The sequence below is a fragment of the Homo sapiens genome, chromosome 5 (assembly GCF_000001405.40).
Source record: "Homo sapiens chromosome 5, GRCh38.p14 Primary Assembly".
Classification (NCBI taxonomy): Eukaryota; Metazoa; Chordata; class Mammalia; order Primates; family Hominidae; genus Homo; species Homo sapiens.
In genome coordinates, this window is record NC_000005.10 from 176,253,184 (window position 1) to 176,277,733 (window position 24,550).

A 24,550-nucleotide genomic window follows, 5' to 3' on the forward strand; every position below is an offset into this window, starting at 1 on the left:
TGAATATTGGCCCCCACTCTCTTCTGGTTTGTAGGGTTTCTTCAGAGAGATCCACTGTTAGTCTGATGGGCTTCCCTTTGTGGGTAACCCGACCTTTCCCTCTGGCTGCCCTTAATATTTTTTCCTTCATTTCAACTTGGTGAATATGACGATTATGCGTCTTGGGGTTGCTCTTCTAAAGATACTCCTCGAGAATTTTTTTGTATTTTTAGTAGAGACGGAGTTTTGCAATGTTGGCCAGCCTAGTCTCGAACTCCTGACCTCCAGTGATCCACCCGCCTCAGCCTCCCAAAGTTCTGGGATTACAGGCATGAGCCACTGTGCCTGGAAATAGCTCAGTTTTGATATCCCTCAGTGCCAGGATGGACCTATCCTGGATTGTTGGTCTCATTCCATGTTGTAGGGAGTCATTGACAACTAGGAGTCAGCGTCAAAACTCTTTTAGCCACGTTTGAGCAACAAGGGAGGTTTGGAGGGAGTAGCTCTCAAGCTAAGTTTACCTGGAGTTCATTATTAAGTTTAATTTTATCAGTTCCATAGGTGTTTCCTATCACCTCAAAGTGCTGGGCCAGCATTATTCTGTTAGGCATTGTAGTTTGGCAGAATTTTAACAAGTAATAGCTACAAAGTTTAAAAAGAAAAATAGAAAGTAAAATGATAATCTCGGTTTGTGTAATAGTTTTCAGCCATGAACCTAGGATTCAAGGTTCAATTAAACCTTTGAATCAATTGAATAAATCAAATGACCACGGAGAACTAGGTGACACCTTTTGTAACTGTGTGGCCTGTTTTCTTATTTTGCATATATGGGTCTCAACTTTCCCAAAGGCCATTATCTAGTTACAGCATAAAGTATTAGCAACAGCACAGAAATTTCCTTATCTAACTAATAGATAATATAGACCAATTTTGTCATCTAGGATCCCATGACTGGGTGGAATTAAAGCAGAGAGAGAGCAACAGTTGTATTAGGGATGTTGCCAAGGTCACCCACTAGATGGACTAAAGGATCCCTTAAACCAGTTTCTGTCAAGTTACCAACAGAAGCTGCTGATTGTGAAATTTCAATTACACCGTTATCCTGCCAAGTGAAAAAGGTAGGATTAAGAGGAGTAGGAGTCTGATTATGTAGTCTTGTTCTAACGTCTAGGGAAAAGCTGTCTGCAGCATGAAAATGTCAACTTATTGTCCTGGTTTTCAGTTTTGAATGTCTGGTTATGGCACTGGATGGTTTGGTGAACTTTCTGTGTGACTCATCATCAGCCATGAGACTTGCCCCTTAAAATTTATCTAGTTTTAGCTTTTAGGATTTCAGGAACAGAGCAGTTCCTGTTTTTACTAATTTCATGGAAGAAAAGATGGGAGGAATCTAGAAGAATTTAAGATTTAGTTCAGTCTACCAGTGTATAACAGGAACTCAAAGACAATGCACAGGGCTATAATCTAAGAACAGATGTATTAACAGCCTTACTCACTGTAAGGCTGGGAACCCTTGAAGCCAGGCATTATATGCACATTCTCAAATATGATGCTCTAGTTAAAGCCTTGGTAATATATATAACCAATGTTTCCAACTGCATCCTGTTATAAAGAGAGAGCAAATTTTATTAAACTTAGGTAAATAATTCTTGCCATAAAAAATAAGAATACTCATGGATAGTTTCTGAATTTTAGAGGAATCAAATAGGGACAAAAAAATGTTTCCACCTTTGTTCACAAAGTATACCAAATTACTGTAAACTAATAAGTAGCTTAAGAGAAAGAAAAGGTTTCCTTAAAGCTAGAAAACAAAATATTTAAATAAAGAACCTGGCTAGGCATGGTGGCTCATGCCTGTAATCCCAGCACTTTGGGAGGCCGAGGTGAGCAGATCACCTGAGGTCAGGGGTTCGAGACCAGCCTGGCCAACATGGTGAAACACTGTCTTTACTAAAAATACAAAAATTAGCCAGCATGGTGGTGGGCACCTGTAATCCCTGCTACTCCAGAGGCTGAGGTTGCAGTGAGCTGAGATTGTGCCACTGCACTCCAGCCTGAGCAACAGAGCAAGACTCCACCTCAAAAAAAAAAGAACCAATAATGTTTCAAATAAAAGTCATAAAAACGTTATCTTCAAGACCAGGTGCTGTGGCTCATGCCTGTAATCCCAGCACTTTGGGAGGCTGAGGCGAGCTGATCACTTGAGGACAGGAATTTGAGACCAGCCTGGCCAACATGGTGAAACCCTGTCTCTACTAAAAATACAAAAAATGAGCTGGGTGTAGTGGCGCACATTCGTAACCCCAGCTACTATGGAGGCTGAGAAAGGAGAATCGCTTGAACCCGGAGGCAGAAGTTGTAGTGAGCCAAGATCGTGCCACTGCACTCCAGCCTGGGTGACAGAGTGAGACTGTCTTTTTTTTTTTTTTTTTTTTAAAGAAAAAGAGCTAACTTGACTTTAAAGAGATGAAATGTACATGTAAAATAAAATTTTGTTTTCTGTGAAATTTTACTTCAGAAAATATCCTGACTAAAATAAATTAAAAAATGAGTACTCCTAAAAAAAAAAAAAGAAAAGAAAAGAAAGAAAGAAAGTAAGAAAGCCAAGAGCACAGAATCAGGATATACTGGAGGAAAACAACTTTTCTAGGCCTTCAAGATAGAACATTTCAGTGTCAGGCCGTTAAAGCAGAGTTAGAGCTGGAGAAAAAAAGTTACAGAAGATGAAAAAGTTAAAAGAGAATTATCACCTCACCAAACAAAAAGATATACCGTCTCAAGGAGAGAAAGTGGAAGACCAAAAGGCAGAAATGTCTGACCTGCAAATCACATGAAACAAGATACAGCAAAAGTTTAACTACTGAGATATGAATCTGAGAAGCTTCCACAGGAAAACTCTACCTCAAAATATGAAATTACCATTCTAAATGAAGAAGATTCATTTTAAAACTGATATTAGAGAAAGGAAGACTAAAAAACAAACAAAAAAGCTGCACTTCAGAAGATAGTTGAAAATTTAAGAAACAAATTTCAGAATTAGGTCAAAATCTCTTGCAAATGTTATTAAAAGCAGATCAATACTTCAAGAAAACATTGTTCTAATATAGGAGACCAGAATTTTAGTTTTCATATCAATGTGTATATAAATATATATACACGTATTTTTTAATTGAAGCAGTCTTTAGACATACTTATAAGTAAGTTTCTTCTAATTATAGCCAACTTGGTCACCACAAATTTCTTTTGTAAATTCATCCTTCGCAAACTTTCCATGATATACTCAGACCTTCTATGGCATGTTTAGACCTTTAGTTTTGTCCTTCTTTCTTAAATAGTTAGTCATTTTACTTAAGGATAAAATTTAATTTCTTGCCTTATTTCTAAGATAACAACAAATCTAAGACTTGCTGTCATTTTAAAAACACCTTTTCTAAAAAGAAACACTACCACATGAAATGCACACATTAATTATAGGATACATCCTGGTTATATATGTATTATGGAAACATTCCACATATTAGATTATAAAATATGGTGTTACCAATTGTGTCAGTCATTTTAAAACAATTATCTTTTCTCCAATTATTTGTAACATTTTTTTTTTTAGAATCTCACTGTTACCCAACCTGGAGTGCAGTGGCAGAATCATAGCTCATTGTAGCCTTGAACTCCTGGGCTCAAGTAATCTCCTGCCTCAAGTCTCCTGAGTAGGCAGGACTATAGGCAAACACCACCATGCCTGGCTAATTTTTTAAATTAATTTATTTATTTTTTGGTAGAGACAGGGTCTCACTATGTTGCCCACACTGGTCTTGAACTCCTTGCCTCAAGTGGTCCTACCACATTGGCCTCCCAAAGCACTGGGATTACATGTGTGAGCCACCACACCTGGCCCGTAACATATTTTTATACCAAATTATTTTATTTACTTGTGTTTCTGGGTTTTCCATTATGTTTCATTGATTTCTTTATTCAATAGCATAACTTTCCTGTTTTATTTTTATAGTTTGATATATCTTTCGGGATTTCATAAAGCAGTATATGTGTTAGGCTGTTCTTGCATTACTGTAAAGAAATCCCTGAGAATACTCATCTCTCACCTTATGCAAAAAATCAATTCAAAATGGATCAAAGACTTTTATATAAAAATTTTTTTTAATTAAAAAACAAAAGAAATGCCTGAGACTGGGTAATTGATCAAGAAAAGAGCTCACAGTTCCAAAGACTGTACAGGAAGCATGGTGCCAGCATCTGTTCACCTTCTGATGAGACTTCAGGAAGCTTACAATCATGGTGGAAGGCACAGTGGGAGCTGGCACATCACATGGAGAGAGCAAGAGAGTGAGAGTGGGGGTGCAAAGGTGCCACAGACTCAAACAACCAGATCTCTCAATAGCTCATTATTGTGAAGACAGCACCAAGCCATGAGGGATATGCCCCCATGACCCAAATACCTCCCACCAGGCCCCACCTCCAACCTTGGGGATTACAATTCAACATATGGGGAATACATACATATGTACGTATGTGTCTCCTTACTATTTTTCCCCCCAAAAAAATGTCCTGGCTATTTGTACCCATTTGTTCCCCCAAATGAATTTTAGAATAATTTTGTCGAAGACTGCATTAGATTGTTTCTTTGGGCCGTATAATTATTTGTTGCATGGGGTTGTCCTATGCACTGTAGGATATTTAATAGCATCTCTGACCTCTACCCGCTAGATGCCTGCCAGTAGTAACCCCTCAACTTGTGACAATAAAAAATGTCTCCAGACATTGCCAAATAGCCCCTGTATGGGAGGTAAAATTGCACCAGTTCAGAACCACTACGTTAGTTTTATAAGTTAATTAAAGGAGAGTTAATGTCTTTACAATATTGTCTTTCTAAGCGGAAGTACAGTATAACTTTCATTTTATGAGATTTGCTTCTTGGTGATCAGTAAAACTATAAGACTTCCTTGGGTTTGGTGCCTTTTTATGGAGCTAGTGTTTCGATTTTGAATGACTATGTGTTATGTAGGGTTAAACATATCAATCATGGTAAGCATCACATAATAAGAATAGCTGGCATTTATGCCAGGTACCATGTCAAGTGCTTTACTTGGATTAACTCATAATCTTCACTGCAACCCCATGAGGTAGGTAGTATTATTATCCCTGTTTGGTAAATGAGGAAACTAAGGTAGCTTCAACCAGATGCTAACTAGTAGAGCAGGTTTACCACCGCTTGTCTCCATCTTTAAGATCCTGGGGCAAACTTTTTCAAACCTCATACCAGGTTTCCAAGGGAACATCAGGTGGGGATGGTAGTAGTAAACAGTTAAGTGGAAAAAAGCAAGTCACAAAATATAATTCTATTTTTTAAACGGATGGTTTTGGAAAAATAGACTCACGAGAGTTTTTTAATACAAAAATTGTTTTTTAAAACTCCTTTTTTTTTTTGAGATAGAGTCTTGCTCTCTCACCCAGGCTGGAGTGCAGTGGCACAATCGCATAAGTTAGTGAACTTATTAATATAATATTCACTACAGCTGTATGGAGCTGCCATAGAATAGAAAGGAAAATTCATCTACATTTTGAATTTAATACATCAGATGTGAAATTAACTTGGGTCTTAAATCAAGTTCAGCTTCCTTGAAAGCCTGCAGATCACTTCCAACATCCCTCATTTATCCTGAACTGTCTTTGGGAGGTTGGTGGGTCTGGCTACCCATGAAGACAAAGTGTTCCTTCCTGTCTGGTAGGGATTTAGTTTTGTATTTTTGTATTAGCTAATTTGTAAAGTGTTACCTTATTCCAGTGGGTCTTTTAATAACAGCTTTATTAAAGTATAATTCCATACCATACCATAAAATTCTCTGAGTTGTGCAGCCATCACCACTATCTAATTTTAGAACATTTACTTCACTCCAGAAGGAAACCCTGTACCCTCCAGTGGGTTCTCTGATTTGCTTATGTTTTAAAGGTACATAATCATATCATTTGAAAAATAAATTTTTCCCATTTTAAATTATAAACATTAGGCTGGGCATGGTGGCTCACGCCAGTAATCCCAGCACTTTGGGAGGCTGAGGTGGACAGATCACTTGAGTTGGGAGTTTGAGACCAGCCTCGACAATATGGTAAAGCCCCATCTCCACTAATACAAAAAATCAGCCAGGCATGGTAGTCCAGCTACTTGGGAGGCTGAGGACTGAGAATCACTTGAACCTGGGAGGCAGAGGTTGCAGTGAGCCAAGATGGCTCCACTGCACTCCAGCCTGGGTGACAGAGCGAGACTCCATCTGGAAAAAAAAAAATTATAAACATTATTTTTAAATTGTAAGTAGGCCGGGTGTGGTGGCTCACGCCTATAATCCCAACACTTTGGGAGGCTGAGGCAGGTGGATCACTTGAGGTCAGGAGTTCGAGACCAGCCTGGCCAACATGGCGAAACCCTGTCCCTACTAAAAATACAAAAGTTAGCTGGGAGTGGTGGCACGCGCCTGTAGTCCCACCTACTCTGGAGGCTGAGGCATGACAATTACTTGAATCTGGGAGGTGGAGGTTGCAGTGAGCCGAAATCGTGCCACTGCACTCCAGCCTGGGCAACAGAGCAAGACTCTATCTCAAAAATAATAATAATCATAAACTGTAAATACAGGTAAGAAATTCTTATGTAAGAACCTGCCCCTATCTATTTCTACTCTAGATAACTACAGTTTTTGTGTATTGCTCCAGAAATTTTCCTTGTGTGTGCACAAACATATTTAAATGTATAATTCTTTCCCAATGGGATCATGCTAGCTTTTTAAAATTACTTAATATATTATAGGCATTAAAATAAAAACTAAAATTTATATATATTTATATATAATTAGTATATATATTTTAAAATTAAAAAATACGTAATAGACATTTAAAAAATTCATACCTCATTCAGACCATTATTCATTTTGCTTGCAATGGTATTCCCAGTGCACAACATGGTGCCTGGTACATTGTAAGTATTCATTCAATAATCATTTTATCAGCTGCATGTTATTCTAATGTTAGAAAACCATAATTACTCAGGAATGGAAAACCAAACATCGTATGTTCTCCCTCATAAGTGGGAGCTAAACTATGAGGATGCAAAGGCATAAGAATGACTTTGGCGACTCGGGGAAGGGGTGAGAAGGGGGCGAGGGATGAAAGACTACAAATTAGGTTCAGTGTATACTGCTTGGGTGGTAGGTACACCAAAACCTCACAAATCACCACTAAAGAACTTACTTGTGTGACCAAATACCACCTGTTACCCAAAAACCTATGAAACTAAAAAGAAATTTTAATAAAAATTTTTAAAAACCAAATTTAGCCAGTCTCTTATTGATTTTAATTTTTTTGATGTTAGACTATGATATGATGAATCCTCTTGCATGGTCATTAAAATACGGTTTTTTTTCTCTGCATTTTATGGTTAAAAAAGGAAAAAAAATGTTTGTAGGACAAGTTCCTTGCAGTGGAATTTTGAGGATAAAGAGTAATATGTCTTTTTTTATTTTAATATATACCACTATTGTGGACATTATGTCATTCCTTGTGACATCCTAGTGTCTGAATCTCAGAACACTAGGAGTGTACAGAACTCCCACCTTCAGAGATACAATCTACTTCTGTGTAAAGAAGCAGAAATGGCAGATGCGCAGAAATGGCAGATGCTCACTTTCCCAGGCTCTGGTACACCTAGTGCTCAGACGTGGGACCTAGGTTCTACCAGAAGCTGGTGACAGGAAGAAGCAGGGCCCAGGTGAACTCAAATTTAGTGAAGATGGCAGCAGCAGTGGCAACTACATACAGCAGTAGTAACGTTCTTTGTTTTTTTCTTTTCTTTTTTTTTTCAGACGGTGTCTTGCTGTGTCACTCAGGCTGGAGTGCAGTCGCACAACCTCAGCTCACTGCAACCTCTGCCTCCCGGGTTCAAGTGATTCTCCTGCCTCAGCTTCCTGAGTAGCTGGGATTACAGGTATACGCCACCATGCCCAGCTAATTTTTGTATTTTTAGTAGAGATGGGGTTTCGTCATATTGGCCAGGCTGGTCTCAAACTGCTGACCTTAAGTGATCCGCCCACCTCAGCCTCCTAAAGTGCTGGGATTACAGGCACAAGCCACCGCGCCCGGCTGCTTTTCCTATTTCAAATGAAGTTATGAATCATCTTATCTGTTACTTTTTAAAATCCCATTGGAATTTTGTTTGTAATTATTAAGCTTATAGATCAATTTGGGTAGAACAAATGCTTTTTAAAATTTAAATTTTTGTTATAAAAGGTGTATGATGGCTGGGCACGGTGGCTCACACCTGTATTCCCAGCCAGCTCTTTGGAAGGCCGAGGCAGGTGGATCACTTGAGGCTGGGAGTTTGAGACCAGCCTGGCCAACATGGCGAAACCCCATCTCTACTAAAAATACAAAAAATTAGCCAGGTGTGGTGGCATGCACCTGTAATCCCAGCTACTCTGGAGGCTGAGGCAGGAGAATCACTTGAACCCAGGAGGTGGAAGTTGCATTGGGCTGAGATCATGCCACTGCACTCCAGGCTGGGTGACAGAGCAAGACTCTGTCTCAAAAAAAAAAGGAAAAAAAAAAGTTTTATGAATAAGTAATTTAAGTAGACCTATATTCAATAAAGAAATAGAATCAATAATTATTAGTAACCTTCCAAAACAGAAAGCCCCAGGCCCAGATGGGTTGGCGAGTGAATTCCAACAAATATTTAAGGAAGAAATGATAAAAATTCTCAACAATCTTTCAGAGAATAGAAGCAGAGGGACTACTTGCTAACTAGCTCTATGAGACCAACATTACACTAATACCAAAGCAAGACAAATTATAAGAGAAAACTACAGACCAATATCTTTTATGAACACAGATGCAAAAATCCTCAACAAAATATTAGCAAATCAAATCCAACAATGTTCAAAAAGAATTACACATCGTGACCAAGTAGGATTTCTCCCAGGTATGCAAGGTCAATTCTACATTTGAAAATCAATTAAATCCATTAATGCAATTCACCACATCAGTAGGCTAAAGAAGAGAAATCACATGATCCCTTCAATAGAGGCCAAAAAAGCATTTAATACCCATTCATGATTTAAAAAAAAAAAAAAAAAAAAGCCTTCCAGCAAACTAGGAATAGAGGGGAACTTCCTCAACTTCAGAAAGAACATCTACAAAAAACCTGCCACTAATATCATACCTAATGGTGAAAAACTTGAAGCATTCCTACTAAGATCAGGGATAAGGCAAGGATGTCTCCTCACTACTCCTTTTCAGCATTGTACTGGAAGTCCTAGCTAATGTGACAAAAAAAGAAAACAGAAGAAAAGAAAGATACAGGGCCGGGCATGGTAGATCACGCCTGTAATCTGAGCACTTTGGGAGGCCAAGGCAGGTGGAGTACTTGTGGCCAGGAGTTCGAGACCAGCCTGGCCAGTGTGGTGAAATCTCGTCGCTACTAAAAATATACAAATCAGCCAGGCATGGTGGTGAGCACCTGTAGTCCTAGCTACTTGGGAGGCTGAGGCAGAAGAATCACTTGAACCCAGGAAGCAGAGGTTGCAATGAGCCGAGATTGCACCACTGCGCCCCAGCCTGGGTGACAGAGTGAGACTCTGTCTCAAAAAAAGAAAAAGTATGTGGATTGGGAAGGAAGAAATAAAATTGTCTTTGTTCACTGAAGACATGATTTGTCTATGTAGAAAATCTCAAAGAATCTAGAAAAAAACCTCTTGGAACTAACAAGCAATTATAGTGAGTTTGCAGAACACAAGGTTAACATACAAAACTCAGTTGCTTTCCTATATACTAACAATGAAAAAGTGGAATTTGAAATGAAACATACATTACCATTTACATTTACATTAGCACTCCCAGAAATTGAACAAATAGGCGTAAATATAACAAAATATCTACAAAATCTTTATATAGAAAACTGTGATGACAGGTGTCAAAGAACTACATAAATGGAGAAACATTTCATGTTTGTGAATAGGAAAACTCAATGTCATCAAGATGTCAATTCTTCCTGACTTAATTGGTAGATTCAATGCAATCCCAATCGAAATCCCAGCAATTTGTTCTATGAACATCAACAAACTGATTGTAAAGTTTATATGGAGGGACAAAAGATTCAGAATAGCTGTCTTAGTTCATTTTGCATTGCTGTAAGGGAATACCTGAGGCTGAGTCATTTATAAAGAAAAGAGGTTTATTTGGCTCATAATTCTGCAGGCTGAACAAGAAGCATGGCACCAGCATCTGCTTCTGGTGAGGACCTCAGGAAGCTTCCAACCATGGCAGAGGTGAATGGGGAGCAGGTATGTCTCATGGTGAGAGAAGGAGGAAGAGAAAAAAGAACATTCATATTTTGCAGGAACTATGAGTGAGAACTGGCTCAATCCCTTGAGAATGGCACCATGACATTTATGAGGGATCTGTCCCCATGATTCCACCAGGTCCTACCTCCAACATTGGGGATCAAATTTTAACCTGACACTTGGAGGGGCCAAATATCCAAACTATTATTCTTTCCCTGGCCCCCCAAATGTCATATCCTTCTCACATTGCAAAATATAATCATCCCTTCCCAATAATTTCCAAAAGTCTTAACTCATTCCACTATCAATTTAAAAAATGCAAAATCTCATCTGAGACTGAAGGCTAATTTCTTCCAGCTGTGAGCCTGTAAGATGAAAAGCAAGTTATTGAATTCTAAGATACAATGATTGTGCAGGCATAGGGTAAACATTCCCATTCCAGAAGGAAAAAAATGGCCAAAAGAAAGCGGTAATAGGCCTCATGCAAGTCCAGAACTCAGCAGGGCAGACATTAAATCTTAAAGCTCCAAAATAATCTCCCTTAACTCCATGTCCTGCATCCTGGGCATACTGGTGCAAGGGGTGGGCTCCTAAGGCCTTGGGCAGCCCCACCCCTTGGCTTTACTGGGGCACAGCCCATATGGCTACTCCCACAGGTGGGAGTTGGGCCTTTGGCCTTTCCAGGCTGAAAATACAACCTGCTGGTGGCTCTACCACCCTCAGCTCTGGAGGGCAGCAGCCTTGTTCTACTAAGGAGTAGCCCAGTAGGGACTCTATGGGGGCTCCAACCCCACATTTCCCCTTGGCACTGCCCTAGTAGAGTCTCTCTGTGGGGGCTCTGCCCCTGTGGCAGGCTTCTGCCTGGGCATGCAGACTTTCTGATACATCTTCCGAAATCTAGGTGGAAACTGCCAGAATGTGCTCTTGCATTCTGTGTGTCTACAGACTTAACACCACATGGAAGCTGCCAGGGCCTCTGATTGGCAGCCTGAGCCATGCCTGGGGCCTTTTGAGCCCTGACTGGGGCCTGAACAGCCTGAATTTGGATTGGGCTCCTGAAACCATTCTGTCCTTCTAGGCCTCTAGGCCTTTTTCCCATTGTCTTGCTAATTTCTTCTGCAAGTGGTTGCTCTTCAGCCCCTTTAAATTTCTCTCCTAAAAATGCTTGTTCCTTCCCTACCACAGGACTGGGTTGCAAATTTTTCAGACTTTTACAGTCTGCTTTCCTTTTAATTTTAAGTTCAAACCTTAGATCAGCCCATTGCTCCCACATTTGATTGTGGACTGTGAGATTTAGAACAAAGCAATGATATTTGCTTTTACTGCTCCTATTCAGATGTTGCTGGAAGCCTCAGCTGGTGCAATTAGTTAAGAAAAGGAAATAGGCCAGGCATGGTGGCTCATACCTATAATCCCAGCACTTTGGGAGGCCAAGGAGGGAAGATTGCTTGGGCCCAGGAGTTCAAGACCAGCCTGAGCAAGATAGGGAGATACCATTTCTACAAAAAAAGCAAAATAGGAAAGGGGAATAAAAGGCTTACAGATTGGAAAAAAGAAATGAAACTGTCCCTATTTCCAGATGACATGATTGTCTATGCAGAAGATCTCAAGGAATATACCCACCCCCAACAACAACAACAACAAAACCCTCCTAGGACCTAATTGAGGGAGTTTAACAAGGTCACTGGATAGAAATTCAACACAAGCCTTGACCAGGAATTTTTTCCTTCAGGAGTATAGCCAACTTAGAAGGACTCTCCACTTCAAACAAACAAACAAACAAACAAACAGGATTCTGACCGAAACTAATTTGCCCTGCTAGTCAGGCTGGCAAGAATTAACAGAAGTCTCCAAAGAGTAAAATTAACCAAAAACTGTGAACAGAAACTAGAGTGGCAGGCAGCATATCCCATTATCAACACCATAAGTGGGTGATAAGCCTCGGGTCAGCAGTTTGCTGGTATAGGTGAATCTGACACTTCCAATTTCTTAAATCCAAAGCCCCAAAAGAAAAGTGTTCTGGTTTCTGAGCTTTCTTTGTTTTGCTCTAAAATGTGAATAACATTCACCTCACAATGTCTGAAAATAGGGTTAATTAGGAGGCCTGTTGGAGTTATTTCCTAGTTTCACTCTGCAGATGCCAAATATCGGGATGCCTTAGTAATCTGTGTTTCTCCTCCCTCTGGCAATACAACTGTTAAAATTAGATAATTTGTTATCTGTGAAAGTTTAATTGGAGCAATATGTGATGGAAATGCAAATTACTTAATTAGGAGTTAGGGAGAGTATGAGAGAACAATGAAATGAGAATAAATTAACAAATATTATTAGATTAAATTTATTTATTAATCGTGTTGGATCCAAGTACCTTATAGCTACCAAGGATACAGGATACAAAAAGAGGTTATTCTCAAATGGGGGAGAAGATAATTAAGTATCCTGCAAAATGCCTCATGATATGTGCTATAGTAATATTAGTATGTACAGTGTGCTATGGAACCATCAAAGAGGGGAGCAACTGACTCTCTCCAAAATTTGAAGAGCAATGCAGTTGGATTCTACTTCCAATCTGTGAAACTGCCTCACAGTTAAAGTACTCTCTGAGGGCCCGGTGAGAAATCAGGCAGATACCAGAGAGGAATCTATTCTTACAAGATAGCTGCATAGGGTGATATCTGTGACTTTGCGGCTTTTTTAACTGATTGCATTCCCCAGTCATTTGCAACTTGGGTGGCAGAAAGCTGAGATTTTATGAACTTGAAATGTCAGGGGACAGAGGTCAAGGCTGGCGGAGCAAGAAATTACAGAGGAATCCCTGCAAACAAGAAAAATCATACGAAGGGTGAACTGCAAAATTTTAGTATAATGACTGCTCAGGTGGTTGGCTGACAGCCAAATTATGTAGGCACAACAGAGGACCCCCGCCCCTGCCTCAAGAGGCCAGGTTAAAACAACAGCAGCTGGAAACCATAAGAACAAAGATATCAGTACCTATATTGTGCAAGGGAGACAAAGTTTGCAGTTCGAATCTAGGCAGGTTAAGTATTAATATCTACTAGAACAACAAAAACCCCACAACAATTCTTAGAAGAACACAGTTAAACCCAGTGTCTAGGCATGCAAAGAAACAGAAGTGTGACTCATACTCAAGGAGGGGGAAAGGGCAGTCAATAGAAACTGACTCTGAGTGAGCCTAGTTGTTGGATTTAACAGAAACTTCAAAGCAATTATTGTAAATGTGTTCAATGAGTTAAACTATGACATCAATGAGTGGGGTGGAAAATCTCAACCAAGAAATGGAAACTATAAAAATGGAAATTTGAGAGTTGAAAAATACAGTAACTGAAATTTTTTAAAAATCTAAATAGCTTCAACAGTAGATTAGAAAACAAAGCAGATTGGCAAAAGAAGCCATGAAGTTCAAGCTAGATCAATAGAAATCACCCAGTTTCGAGAAACAGGGGAGAAAAAGATGGAATAAAGTTGAAAAGAGATATGTAGGGCAATATCAAACAATCCATAATAGGTATAATTAGAGTCTTAGAAGGAGGGGCAGCAGTAAATTATAGAAAATTTTTTGAAGAAATAATGACTGGAATTTTCTCACATTTTGTGGGAAAAAATTAACTTACCCAAGTAGTACAGCAGACTGAAAGCAAGATAATTACAAAGAAAACCACTTATTGACTGTCCAGAGAAAAATGGTATATTGTACATAGGGAACAACAGTGCAGTTAACACCTCACTTCTTATCAGAAACCGTGGAGGTCAAAAGACATTGGACCAACATATTCAAATGATGGAAAAAAGAAAGCTTTCAGCCAAGAATTCTGCATCTGGAAAAATTATCCTTCAAAAATAAGGGGAAAATAAAGACATTTTTGGATAAACAGAGATGAGAGAATTTTTCACTAGCAGACCTGCACTATAAGACATTTTGGCTGAAGGGAAATGACACCTAAATGGATATTTGGATCTACACAAAGGAGTGAAGAGCACATGAAATTGTAAATGTGTGTAAAACAAAAATAATGATTTTTTGTTATGTCTTAATATCTTTAAAAGACAAGTGACTGAAAAAGTATAGTACTACTGTGCTGATGTGTTTACAATGTATACAGATAATACACAGGACAACAAAAATACAGGATGAGGCACAGGTGAGTGGAATATTTTGTAAGGTTTCTATAGTTTTACCTTAAGTAATTCGATAAATTTTCTTTTCTTTCTGTTTTTTTTTTTTTTTTTTTTTTTTTTTTTGTCCCCCAGGCTTGTCTTTGTCTGGCTTTGTCCCCCAGGCTTGAGTGCAGTGATGCAATCTCAGCTCGCTGCAGCCTCAACCTCCCAGGTTCAAGCAATCCTCTTGACTCAGCCCCGCCAAGTAGCTGGGACTACAGGTGCGCACCATCACGCCAGCCAGATTTTTTTGTAGGGATGGAGTTTCACCATGTTGCCAAGGCTGGTCTCCAGCTCCTGAGCGCAAGCAATCTGCCCGCCTTGGCCTCCCAAAGTGCTAGGACTACAAGCCTGAGCCACCATGCTGTGCCAAGAAGTAATTCAATACATTTTCTAAAATTTTCTAAAGTACACTGGAATAAATTGAATTTATACACTGTAGTCCCAAGAGCAACCACTAAAAATATAATGAAAAGACATATAGATAGAAAACCAATAGAGGAGTTAAAATGGAATGCCAAAAAATATGTCACTAGCATAAAGGGAGGTAGGAAAAGAGGGACAATGAAACAAATAATGGATAGAAGAAATAGGAAAGAGATGGTATGATTGTAGGTTTAAAAGTGAACATGTAAATAATTAAGTGTAAATAGACCAAAATTCTAAACAAAAGGCAGAGATTGTCAGACTGGACCAAAAAAAAAAGCAAGAACCAAGTATGTGCTATCTATATGAGATGTACTGTCTATATGAGAGACATTCTACATATAAAGATGCAAATACACTGAGAGTAAAAGGATAGAAAGAAATATACCATGCAAATAGTATGCACAAGAAATTTGTAGTAACTCTATTCTTACCAGAAAAACAAGACATCAATACAAGGAAGATTTCTGGAGACTAAGAGGAATCTTTCATAATGATAAAAGAGTTAATACATTGGGAAGTTATAAGAATTACATGTGTATATGCACCTAATAAATACAGTTTCAAAATACATGAAGCAAACAACTGAACTAAGGGAAAACAGTCAAACTACAACCGTAGTTGGACACTTTTCGCTCTGTAGTTGATAATAAAACTGGATCGCCCCCACCAAAGTAAAGAAATCAAAGATCTGAAAAACACTATTAACTACCATGACCTGATTGATATTTATAGAACTGTAACTAACAAATACAGAATACACTTTTTCTCCCTAAGTACACAAGGAAGATTCACCAGGGTAGGCTGTGTGTTAGGACATGAGTCTCAGTGTATTTCAAAAGATTAAAATCTTACAGAGTATGTTTTCTGACCATAATGAAAGTAAATTTGAACCACATGATAATAAAATGACTACATATTAAAAATTGTGTCCTTCAGAAAAATTCACATACTTTTAAAAATTGTGGGATGAAGCCAAAGTAGTCATTACAGTGAAATTTTTAGTTTTAAATGTTAATGTTAGAAAAGAAAAAAGTCTAAACCTAAGCTTCCATTTAAGAAGCTAGAGAAAGAACAAATTAAATACAAAGTAGAAAGAAGGAAATAATAAAGATAACAGAAATAGATGAAATAGGAAACAGATTAAAAAATCAATAAAGTTGATAAATATCTAGCTAGATTGATCAGGGATTTAAAAAATGTTACCAATATTGGGGATAAAAATAGGAATTGGGAATAAATCTATACAGAGTATAGAATTATAAAGTTGATAGGAAATATTATGAACAATTTTATGCCAATAAATTTGATAAATGAAATGGACAAATTTCTGGAAAAACACAAGTCATAAAACTAACACAAGAAGGCAGATAAAATATTAATAGCCCTATGTCTACTAAAGAAATTGAATTTGTAATTTTAATTTGTACCTTTCCTGCAAAGCAAATTTCAGGTGCAAAGAGGTTCACTGGTGAATTTCACCAAACATTTAAGAAAGACATAGTACCATTCAAACACAACTTAAATAGAAGGGGTAGGACTGTTTCTCAAGTTATTTTATTAAATCAGTTTTACTCCGATAACAAAAACAGAAAAATTACAAAAATAGAAAATTACAAATAAAAATCCCACATAAACATGCAAATTTTTTTTTTCTGAGAGATGACGCCTCACTCTATTGCCCAGGCTGGAGTGCAGTGGTGACCCCACAGCTGACTGCAGCCTTGACCTCCCAGGTTTAAGCCGTCCTCCCTTCTGAGCCTCCCAGGTAGCTGGGACCACTGGCATACACCACCACGCCCAGCAAGTTTATTTTATTTTATTTTTTTTTTTGTAGAGACAAGGTCTTGCTTTGTTGCCCAGGCTGGTCTTGAACTCCTGAGCTCAAGAGATCCTCCCGCCTAGGCCTCCCAAAGTGCTGGGATTACAGGCATGCACCACTGTGCCCAGGATAAATATGCAAAAATTCTTAACAAAATATCGATTCACTGAAGCCCATCAATATAGGAAAAGAACAATACATCATAACCAAGAGAAGCTTTCCCAGGATTGCAAGGTTAATTTAACACTAGAAAATCCATCAATATAAATTCTGATATTAGTAGAACAAAAAATCATCATCATCTTAACAGATGCTGAAGAAGCATTTGACAAAATGTAATAGCTCTTCCCAATTTAAACTCTGAGTAAACTAGGAAAAGAAGAGAACTTCCTTAAAGGCATCTGTGAAAACCCCACAGCTAGAATTATACTTAATGATGGAAATCTGAAATTCTTTCTTTTAAGTTCAAGAACAAGCAGGGAAGGCAGAGCAAGATGGCTGAATAGAACCCTCCAGCATTTGTCCCCCAAGCAAGAACACCAACTTGAACAACTATCCACACAAGAAAGCACTTTCAGAAGAACTAAAACTCAGGTGAGCAATCACAGTACCTGGTTTTAACATATTAAGGAAAGAGGCACTGAAGAGGTTAGGAAAGATAGTCTTGAATTGCCTATACCACACCTCCTCCGTCATCCAGCAGTGCAGTATGATGTGGAGAGAGAATCTGTGTGCTTGGGGAAGGGAAAGCGAAGTGATTGTGAGACTTTGCATTGGAACTCACTGCAGCCCTGTCACAGCAGAAAACAACACATGGCAGAATTTGGCCAGTGCCCACAGCAGAAGCATTTAGAACAGACATAGCCAGAGGCAAATCGTCCATCCTAGCAGTCGGAACTTGAGTTCCAGCTAGCCCCACCACCATGGGCTAAGGTGCTCTGGGGTGCTAAATAAATTTGAAAGGCAGTCTAGGCCACAAGGACTGCAATTCCTGCACAAGTCCTGGTGCTGTGTTGGGCTCAGAGCCAGTGGATTTGGGGTCCACACGATCTAGTGAGACACCAGCTGGGGCAGCCAAGGGAAAGCTTATGTCACCCCTTCCCCAACTTCAGGCAGCACAACTCACAGCACCGGGAGGAGAGGGAAGAGTAAAGAGGGGCCAGGCATGGTGGCCTGTAATCCCAGCACTTTGGGAGGCCAAGGTGGGCGGATCACCTGAGGTCAGGAGTTCGAGACCAGCCTGGCCAACATGGCGAAACCCCATCTCTACTAAAAATACAAAAATTAGCCAGGCATGGTGGCAGGCACCTGTAATCCCAGCTACTCAGGAGGCTGAGGCCTGAGAATCATTTGAACCCTGGAGGCGGAAGTTGCAGTGAGCCAAGATCTCGCCACTGCGCTCCAGCCTGGGTGACAGAGCAAGGCTCTGTCTCAAAAAAAAAAGTGTATGAGTAGATAATTTAAGTAGACCTATATCCAGTAAAGAAATAGAATCAATAATTATTAATAACCTTCCAGAACTGGACGACATTCTGTTAAGTGAAATAAGTTAGGCACACAAAGACAAACTTTGCATGTCCTCATTGTGAGAGCTAAAAATTAGACTCATGGTGATAGTGAGTAGAATGATGGTTACCAGAGGCTAGGAAGGGGAGTAGGGGGTTGGGAGAGAATGGATGGTTAATGGGTACAAAAATATTTTTAGATACAATGAATAAGATCTAGTATTTGATAGCACAACAAGGTGACTACAGTAAGCAATATTTTATTATACATTTCAAAATGACTGAGGGAGTACAATTGGAATGTTCTTAACAAAGAAATGAATTCTTGAGGTGACGGATACCCATTTACCCTGATGTGATTATTACACATTATACAATGTCTCAAAATATTCCTGTCTCAAAATATCTCATGTACCCCATAGATATATATTATATATAATATATAATTATTATATATATAATTATTATACATTAGTATATAATTGTATATTATATTATAATATATACTATTATATATTATATATTATGTATATAATGTATATATTATATATAACATAATATATATAACATATGTAATATAATATATAATATATCTACTATGCAGTTATAAAAATTAGAAAAAAAACAAGGGCCAGGCACAGTGGCTCACGCTGGTCATCCCACCACTTTGGGAGACCAAGGCAAGAGGATTCCTTGAGCCCAGGAGTTCAAGACCAGTCTGTAGTGACATCCCATCTCTACAAAAAAAAAAAAAAAAAAAAAAAAAAGGTGGGCATGGTGGAACGCACCTGCAGTCCCTGCTACATAGGAGGCTGAGGTCATAGGATCACTCCACTGCACTCCAGCCTGTGTGACATAGCGAGACCCCATCTCAAAAAACAAAAAGCAAGAATGTCTGTTTTTGGCACTTCTATTCAGAATTATACTGAATGCCTTAGCAATTGCAATAAGGCAAAAAAAAAAACATACAGATTGGAAAGGAAGTAAGACTTATTTGCAGACAACACATATATAGAAATGTATATCGAAATCCTAGGTTCCGCAGTGGCCATATAGGAACAGCTCCAGTCTACAGCTCCCAGGGTGAGTGACGCAGAAGACGGGTGATGTCTGCATTTCCAACTGAGGTTCATCTCACTGGGGCTTGTCAGTGGGTGCACGACAGTGGGTGCAGCCCACCGAGCAAGAGCTGAAGCAGGGTGAGGCTTTGCCTCGCCTGAGAAGCGCAAAGGGTCAGGGAATTCCCTTTCCTAGCCAAGGGAATCTGTGACAGATGGCACCTGGAAAATGGGGTCACTCCACCCTAATACTGTGCTTTTCCAATGGTCTTAGCAAACGGCACACCAGCAGATTATATCCTGCGCCTAGCTTGGAGGGTCCCACACCCATGGAGCCTCGTTCATTGCTAGCACAGCAGTCTGAGATTGAACTGCAAGGTGCCAGCGAGGCTTGGGGAAGGGTGCCTGCCATTGCTGAGGCTTGAGTAGGTAAACAAAGCAGCCAGGAAGCTCAAACTGGGTGGAGCCCACCGCAGCTCAAGGCCTGCCTGCCTCTGTAGACTCCACTTCTAGGGGCAGGGCATAGCCGAACAAAAGGCAGCAGAAACTTCTGCAGACTTAAATGTCCCTATCTGACAGCTTTGAAGAGAGTAGTGGTTCTCCCAGCTTGGAGTTTGAGATCTGAGAACGGACAGACTGCCTCCTCAAGTGGGTCCCTGACCCCTGAGTAGCCTAACTGGGAGGCACCTCCCAGTAGAGGCTGACTGACACCTCATACAGCCGGGTGCCCCTCTGAGATGAAGCTTCCAGAGGAACGATCAGGCAGCAGCATTTGCTGTTCCGCAATATTCACTGTTCTGCAGCCTCTACTGGTGATACTCAGGCAAACAGGGTCTGGAATGGACCTCCAGCAAACTCCAACAAACCTACAGCTAAGGGTCCTGACTGTTAGAAGGAAAACTAACAAACAGAAAGGACATTCACACCAAAACCCCATCTGTATGTCACCATCATCAAAGACCAAAGGTAGATAAAACCACAAAGATGGGGAGAAACCAGAGCAGAAAAGCTGAAAAAAAAATTTTTTTTTATACTTTAAGTTTTAGGGTACATGTGCACAATGTGCAGGTTAGTTACATATGTATACATGTGACATGCTGGTGCACTGCACCCAGTAACTCGTCATCTAGCATTAGGTATATCTCCCAATGCTATCCCTCCCCCCTCACCTCACCCCACAACAGTCCCCAGAGTGTGATGTTTCCCTTCCTGTGTCCATGTGTTCTCATTGTTCAATTCCCACCTATGAGTGAGAATATGCGGTGTTTGGTTTTTTGTTCTTGCGATAGTTTACTGAGAATGATGATTTCCAGTTTCATCCATGTCCCTACAAAGGACATGAACTCCTCATTTTTTATGGCTGCATAGTATTCCATGGTGTATATGTGCCACATTTTCTTAATCCAGTCTATCATTGTTGGACATTTGGGTTGGTTCCAAGTCTTTGCTATTGTGAATAGTGCCACAATAAACATACGTGTGCATGTGTCTTTACAGCAGCATGATTTATAGTCCTTTGGGTATATACCCAGTAATGGGATGGCTGGGTCAAATGGTATTTCTAGTTCTAGATCCCTGAGGAATCGCCACACTGACTTCCACAATGGTTGAACTAGTTTACAGTCCCACCAACAGTATAAAAGTGTTCCTATTTCTCCACATCCTCTCCAGCACCTGTTGTTTCCTGACTTTTTAATGATTGCCATTCTAACTGGTGTGAGATGATATCTCATTGTGGTTTTGATTTGCATTTCTCTGATGGCCAGTGATGATGAGCATTTTTTCATGTGTTTTTTGGCTGCATAAATGTCTTCTTTTGAGAAGTGTCTGTTCATGTCCTTCGCCCACTTTTTGATGGGGTTGTTTGTTTTTTTCTTGTAAATTTGCTTGAGTTCATTGTAGATTCTGGATATTAGCCCTTTGTCAGATGAGTAGGTTGCAAAAATTTTCTCCAATTTTGTGGGTTGCCTGTTCACTCTGATGGTAGTTTCTTTTGCTGTGCAGAAGCTCTTTAGTTTAATTAGATCCCATTTGTCAATTTTGGCTTTTGTTGCCATTGCTTTTGGTGTTTTAGATATGACGTCCTTGCCCTTGCCTATGTCCTGAATGGTAATGCCTAGGTTTTCTTCTAGGGTTTTTATGGTTTTAGGTCTAACATTTAAGTCTTTAATCCATCTTGAATTGATTTTCGTATAAGGTGTAAGGAAGGGATCCAGTTTCAGCTTTCTACATATGGCTAGCCAGTTTTCCCAGCACCATTTATTAACTAGGGAATCCTTTCCCCATTGCTTTTTTTTCTCAGGTTTGTCAAAGATCAGATGGTTGTAGATAGGCGGCATTATTTCTCTCTCTGTTTTGGTACCAGTACCATGCTCTTTTGGTTACTGTAGCCTTGTAGTATAGTTTGAAGTCAGGTAGCGTGATGCCTCCAGCAGTGTTCTTTTGGCTTAGGATTGACTTGGCGATGTGGGCTCTTTTTTGGTTCCGTATGAACTTTAAAGTAGTTTTTCCAATTCTGTGAAGAAAGTCATTGGTAGCTTGATGGGGATGGCATTGAATCTATAAATTACCTTGGGCAGTATGGCCATTTTCATGATATTGATTCTTCCTACCCATGAGCATGGAATGTTCTTCCATTTGTTTGTATCCTCTTTTATTTCCTTGAGCAGTGGTTTGTAGTTCTCCTTGAAGAGGTCCTTCACGTCCCTTGTAAGTTGGATTCCTAGGTATTTTATTCTCTTTGAAGCAATTGTGAATGGGAGTTCACTCATGATTTGGCTCTCTGTCTGTTATTGGTGTATAAGAATGCTTGTAATTTTTGTACATTGATTTTGTATCCTGAGACTTTGCTGAAGTTGCTTATCAGCTTAAGGAGATTTTGGTCTGAGACAATGGGCTTTTCTAAATATACAATCATGTCATCTGCAAACAAGGACAATTTGACTTCCTCTTTTCCTAATTGAATACCCTTTATTTCCTTCTCCTGCCTGATTGCCCTGGCCAGAACTTCCAACACTGTGTTGAAGAGGAGTGGTGAGAGAGGGCATCCCTGTCTTGTGCCAGTTTTCAAAGGGAATGCTTCCAGTTTTTGCCCATTCAGTATGATATTGGCTGTGGGTTTGTCATAGATAGCTCTTATTATTTTGAGATACGTCCCATCAACACCTAATTTATTGAGAGTTTTTAGCATGAAGGTTGTTGAATTTTGTCAACAACCTTTTCTGCATCTATTGAGATAATCATGTGGTTTTTGTCTTTGGTTCTGTTTATATGCTGGATTACATTTATTGATTTCCGTATATTGAACCAGCCTTGCATCCCAGGGATGAAGCCCACTTGATCATGGTGGATAAGCTTTTTGATGTGCTGCTGGATTCGGTTTGCTAGTATTTTATTGAGGATTTTTGCATCAATGTTCATCAAGGATATTGGTCTAAAATTCTCTTTTTTGGTTGTGTCTCTGCCCGGCTTTGGTATCAGGATGATGCTGGCCTCATAAAATGAGTTAGGGAGGATTCCCTCATTTTCTATTGATTGGAATAGTTTCAGAAGGAATGGTACCAGTTCCTCCTTGTACCTCTGGTAGAATTCGGCTGTGAATCCATCTGATCCTGAACTCTTTTTGGTTAGTAAGCTATTGATTATTGCCACAATTTCAGCTCCTGCTATTGGTCTGTTCAGAGATTCAACTTCTTCCTGGTTTAGTCTTAGGAGGGTGTATTTTTCAAGGAATTTATCCATTTCTTCTAGATTTTCTAGTTTATTTGCATAGAGGTGTTTGTAGTATTCTCTGATGGTAGTTTGTATTTCTTTGGGATCGGTGGTGATCTCCCCTTTATCATTTTTTATTGCGACTGTTTGATTCTTCTCTCTTTTTTTCTTTATTAGTCTTGCTAGCGGTCTATCAATTTTGTTGGTCCTTTCAAAAAACCAGATCCTGGATTCATTAATTTTTTTTTCTTTTTTTTTTATTATACTTTAAGTTTTAGGGTACATGTGCACATTGTGCAGGTTAGTTACATATGTATACATGTGCTGTGCTGGTGCGCTGCACCCACTAACTCATCATCTAGCATTAGGTATATCTCCCAATGCTATCCCTCCCCCCTCCCCCCACCCCACAACAGTCCCCAGAGCGTGATATTCCCCTTTCTGTGTCCATGTGATCTCATTGTTCAATTCCCACCTATGAGTGAGAATATGCGGTGTTTGGTTTTTTGTTCTTGCGATAGTTTACTGAGAATGATGATTTCCAATTTCATCCATGTCCCTACAAAGGACATGAACTCATCATTTTTTATGGCTGCATAGTATTCCATGGTGTATATGTGCCACATTTTCTTAATCCAGTCTATCATTGTTGGACATTTGGGTTGGTTCCAAGTCTTTGCTATTGTGAATAATGCCGCAGTAAACATACGTGTACATGTGTCTTTATAGCAGCATGATTTATAGTCCTTTGGGTATATACCCAGTAATGGGATGGCTGGGTCAAATGGTATTTCCAGTTCCAGATCCCTGAGGAATCGCCACACTGACTTCCACAATGGTTGAACTAGTTTACAGTCCCACCAACAGTGTAAAAGTGTTCCTGTTTCTCCACATCCTCTCCAGCACCTGTCGTTTCCTGACTTTTTAATGATTGCCATTCTAACTGGTGTTAGATGGTATCTCATTGTGGTTTTGATTTGCATTTCTCTGATGGCCAGTGATGATGAGCATTTTTTCATGTGTTTTTTGGCTGCATAAATGTCTTCTTTTGAGAAGTGTCTGTTCATGTCCTTCGCCCACTTTTTGATGGGGTTCTTTGTTTTTTTCTTGTAAATTTGTTTGAGTTCATTGTAGATTCTGGATATTAGCCCTTTGTCTGATGAGTGGGTTGCAAAAATTTTCTCCCATTTTGTAGGTTGCCTGTTCACTCTGATGGTAGTTTCTTTTGCTGTGCAGAAGCTCTTTAGTTTAATTAGATCCCATTTGTCAATTTTGGCTTTTGTTGCCATTGCTTTTGGTGTTTTAGACGTGAAGTCCTTGCCCATGCCTATGTCCTGAATGGTAATGCCTAGGTTTTCTTCTAGGGTTTTTATAGTTTTAGGTCTAACGTTTAAGTCTTTAATCTATCTTGAATTGATTTTTGTATAAGGTGTAAGGAAGGGATTCAGTTTCAGCTTTCTACATATGGCTAGCCGGTTTTCCCAGCACCATTTATTAACTAGGGAATCCTTTCCCCATTGCTTGTTTTTCTCA

The 24,550-nt window shown here is 39.4% G+C and overlaps 1 protein-coding gene across 7 annotated transcripts in view; it reads left to right on the plus strand.

Annotated features, from left to right (window-relative positions):
• The window catches only part of SIMC1 (SUMO interacting motifs containing 1), a 107,566-nt gene that overhangs the window by 14,760 nt on the left and 68,256 nt on the right, over nt 1–24,550 (plus strand). The window contains exons 2-3 of one of the 7 annotated variants that reach the window (NM_001308196.2): nt 7,845–7,966; nt 10,234–10,319. The exons of 3 other annotated variants lie outside the window; for them this stretch is intronic. In NM_001308196.2, coding sequence (NP_001295125.1) covers nt 10,248–10,319 — 72 coding nt within the window. In that variant the 5' untranslated portion in view covers nt 7,845–7,966; nt 10,234–10,247. Of the gene's footprint in view, nt 1–7,844; nt 7,967–8,543; nt 14,480–17,207; nt 17,338–24,550 lie in introns of those variants that run through there. 3 more of the 7 variants (XM_011534554.3, XM_011534553.3, XM_011534556.3) reach the window with 3 other exon arrangements.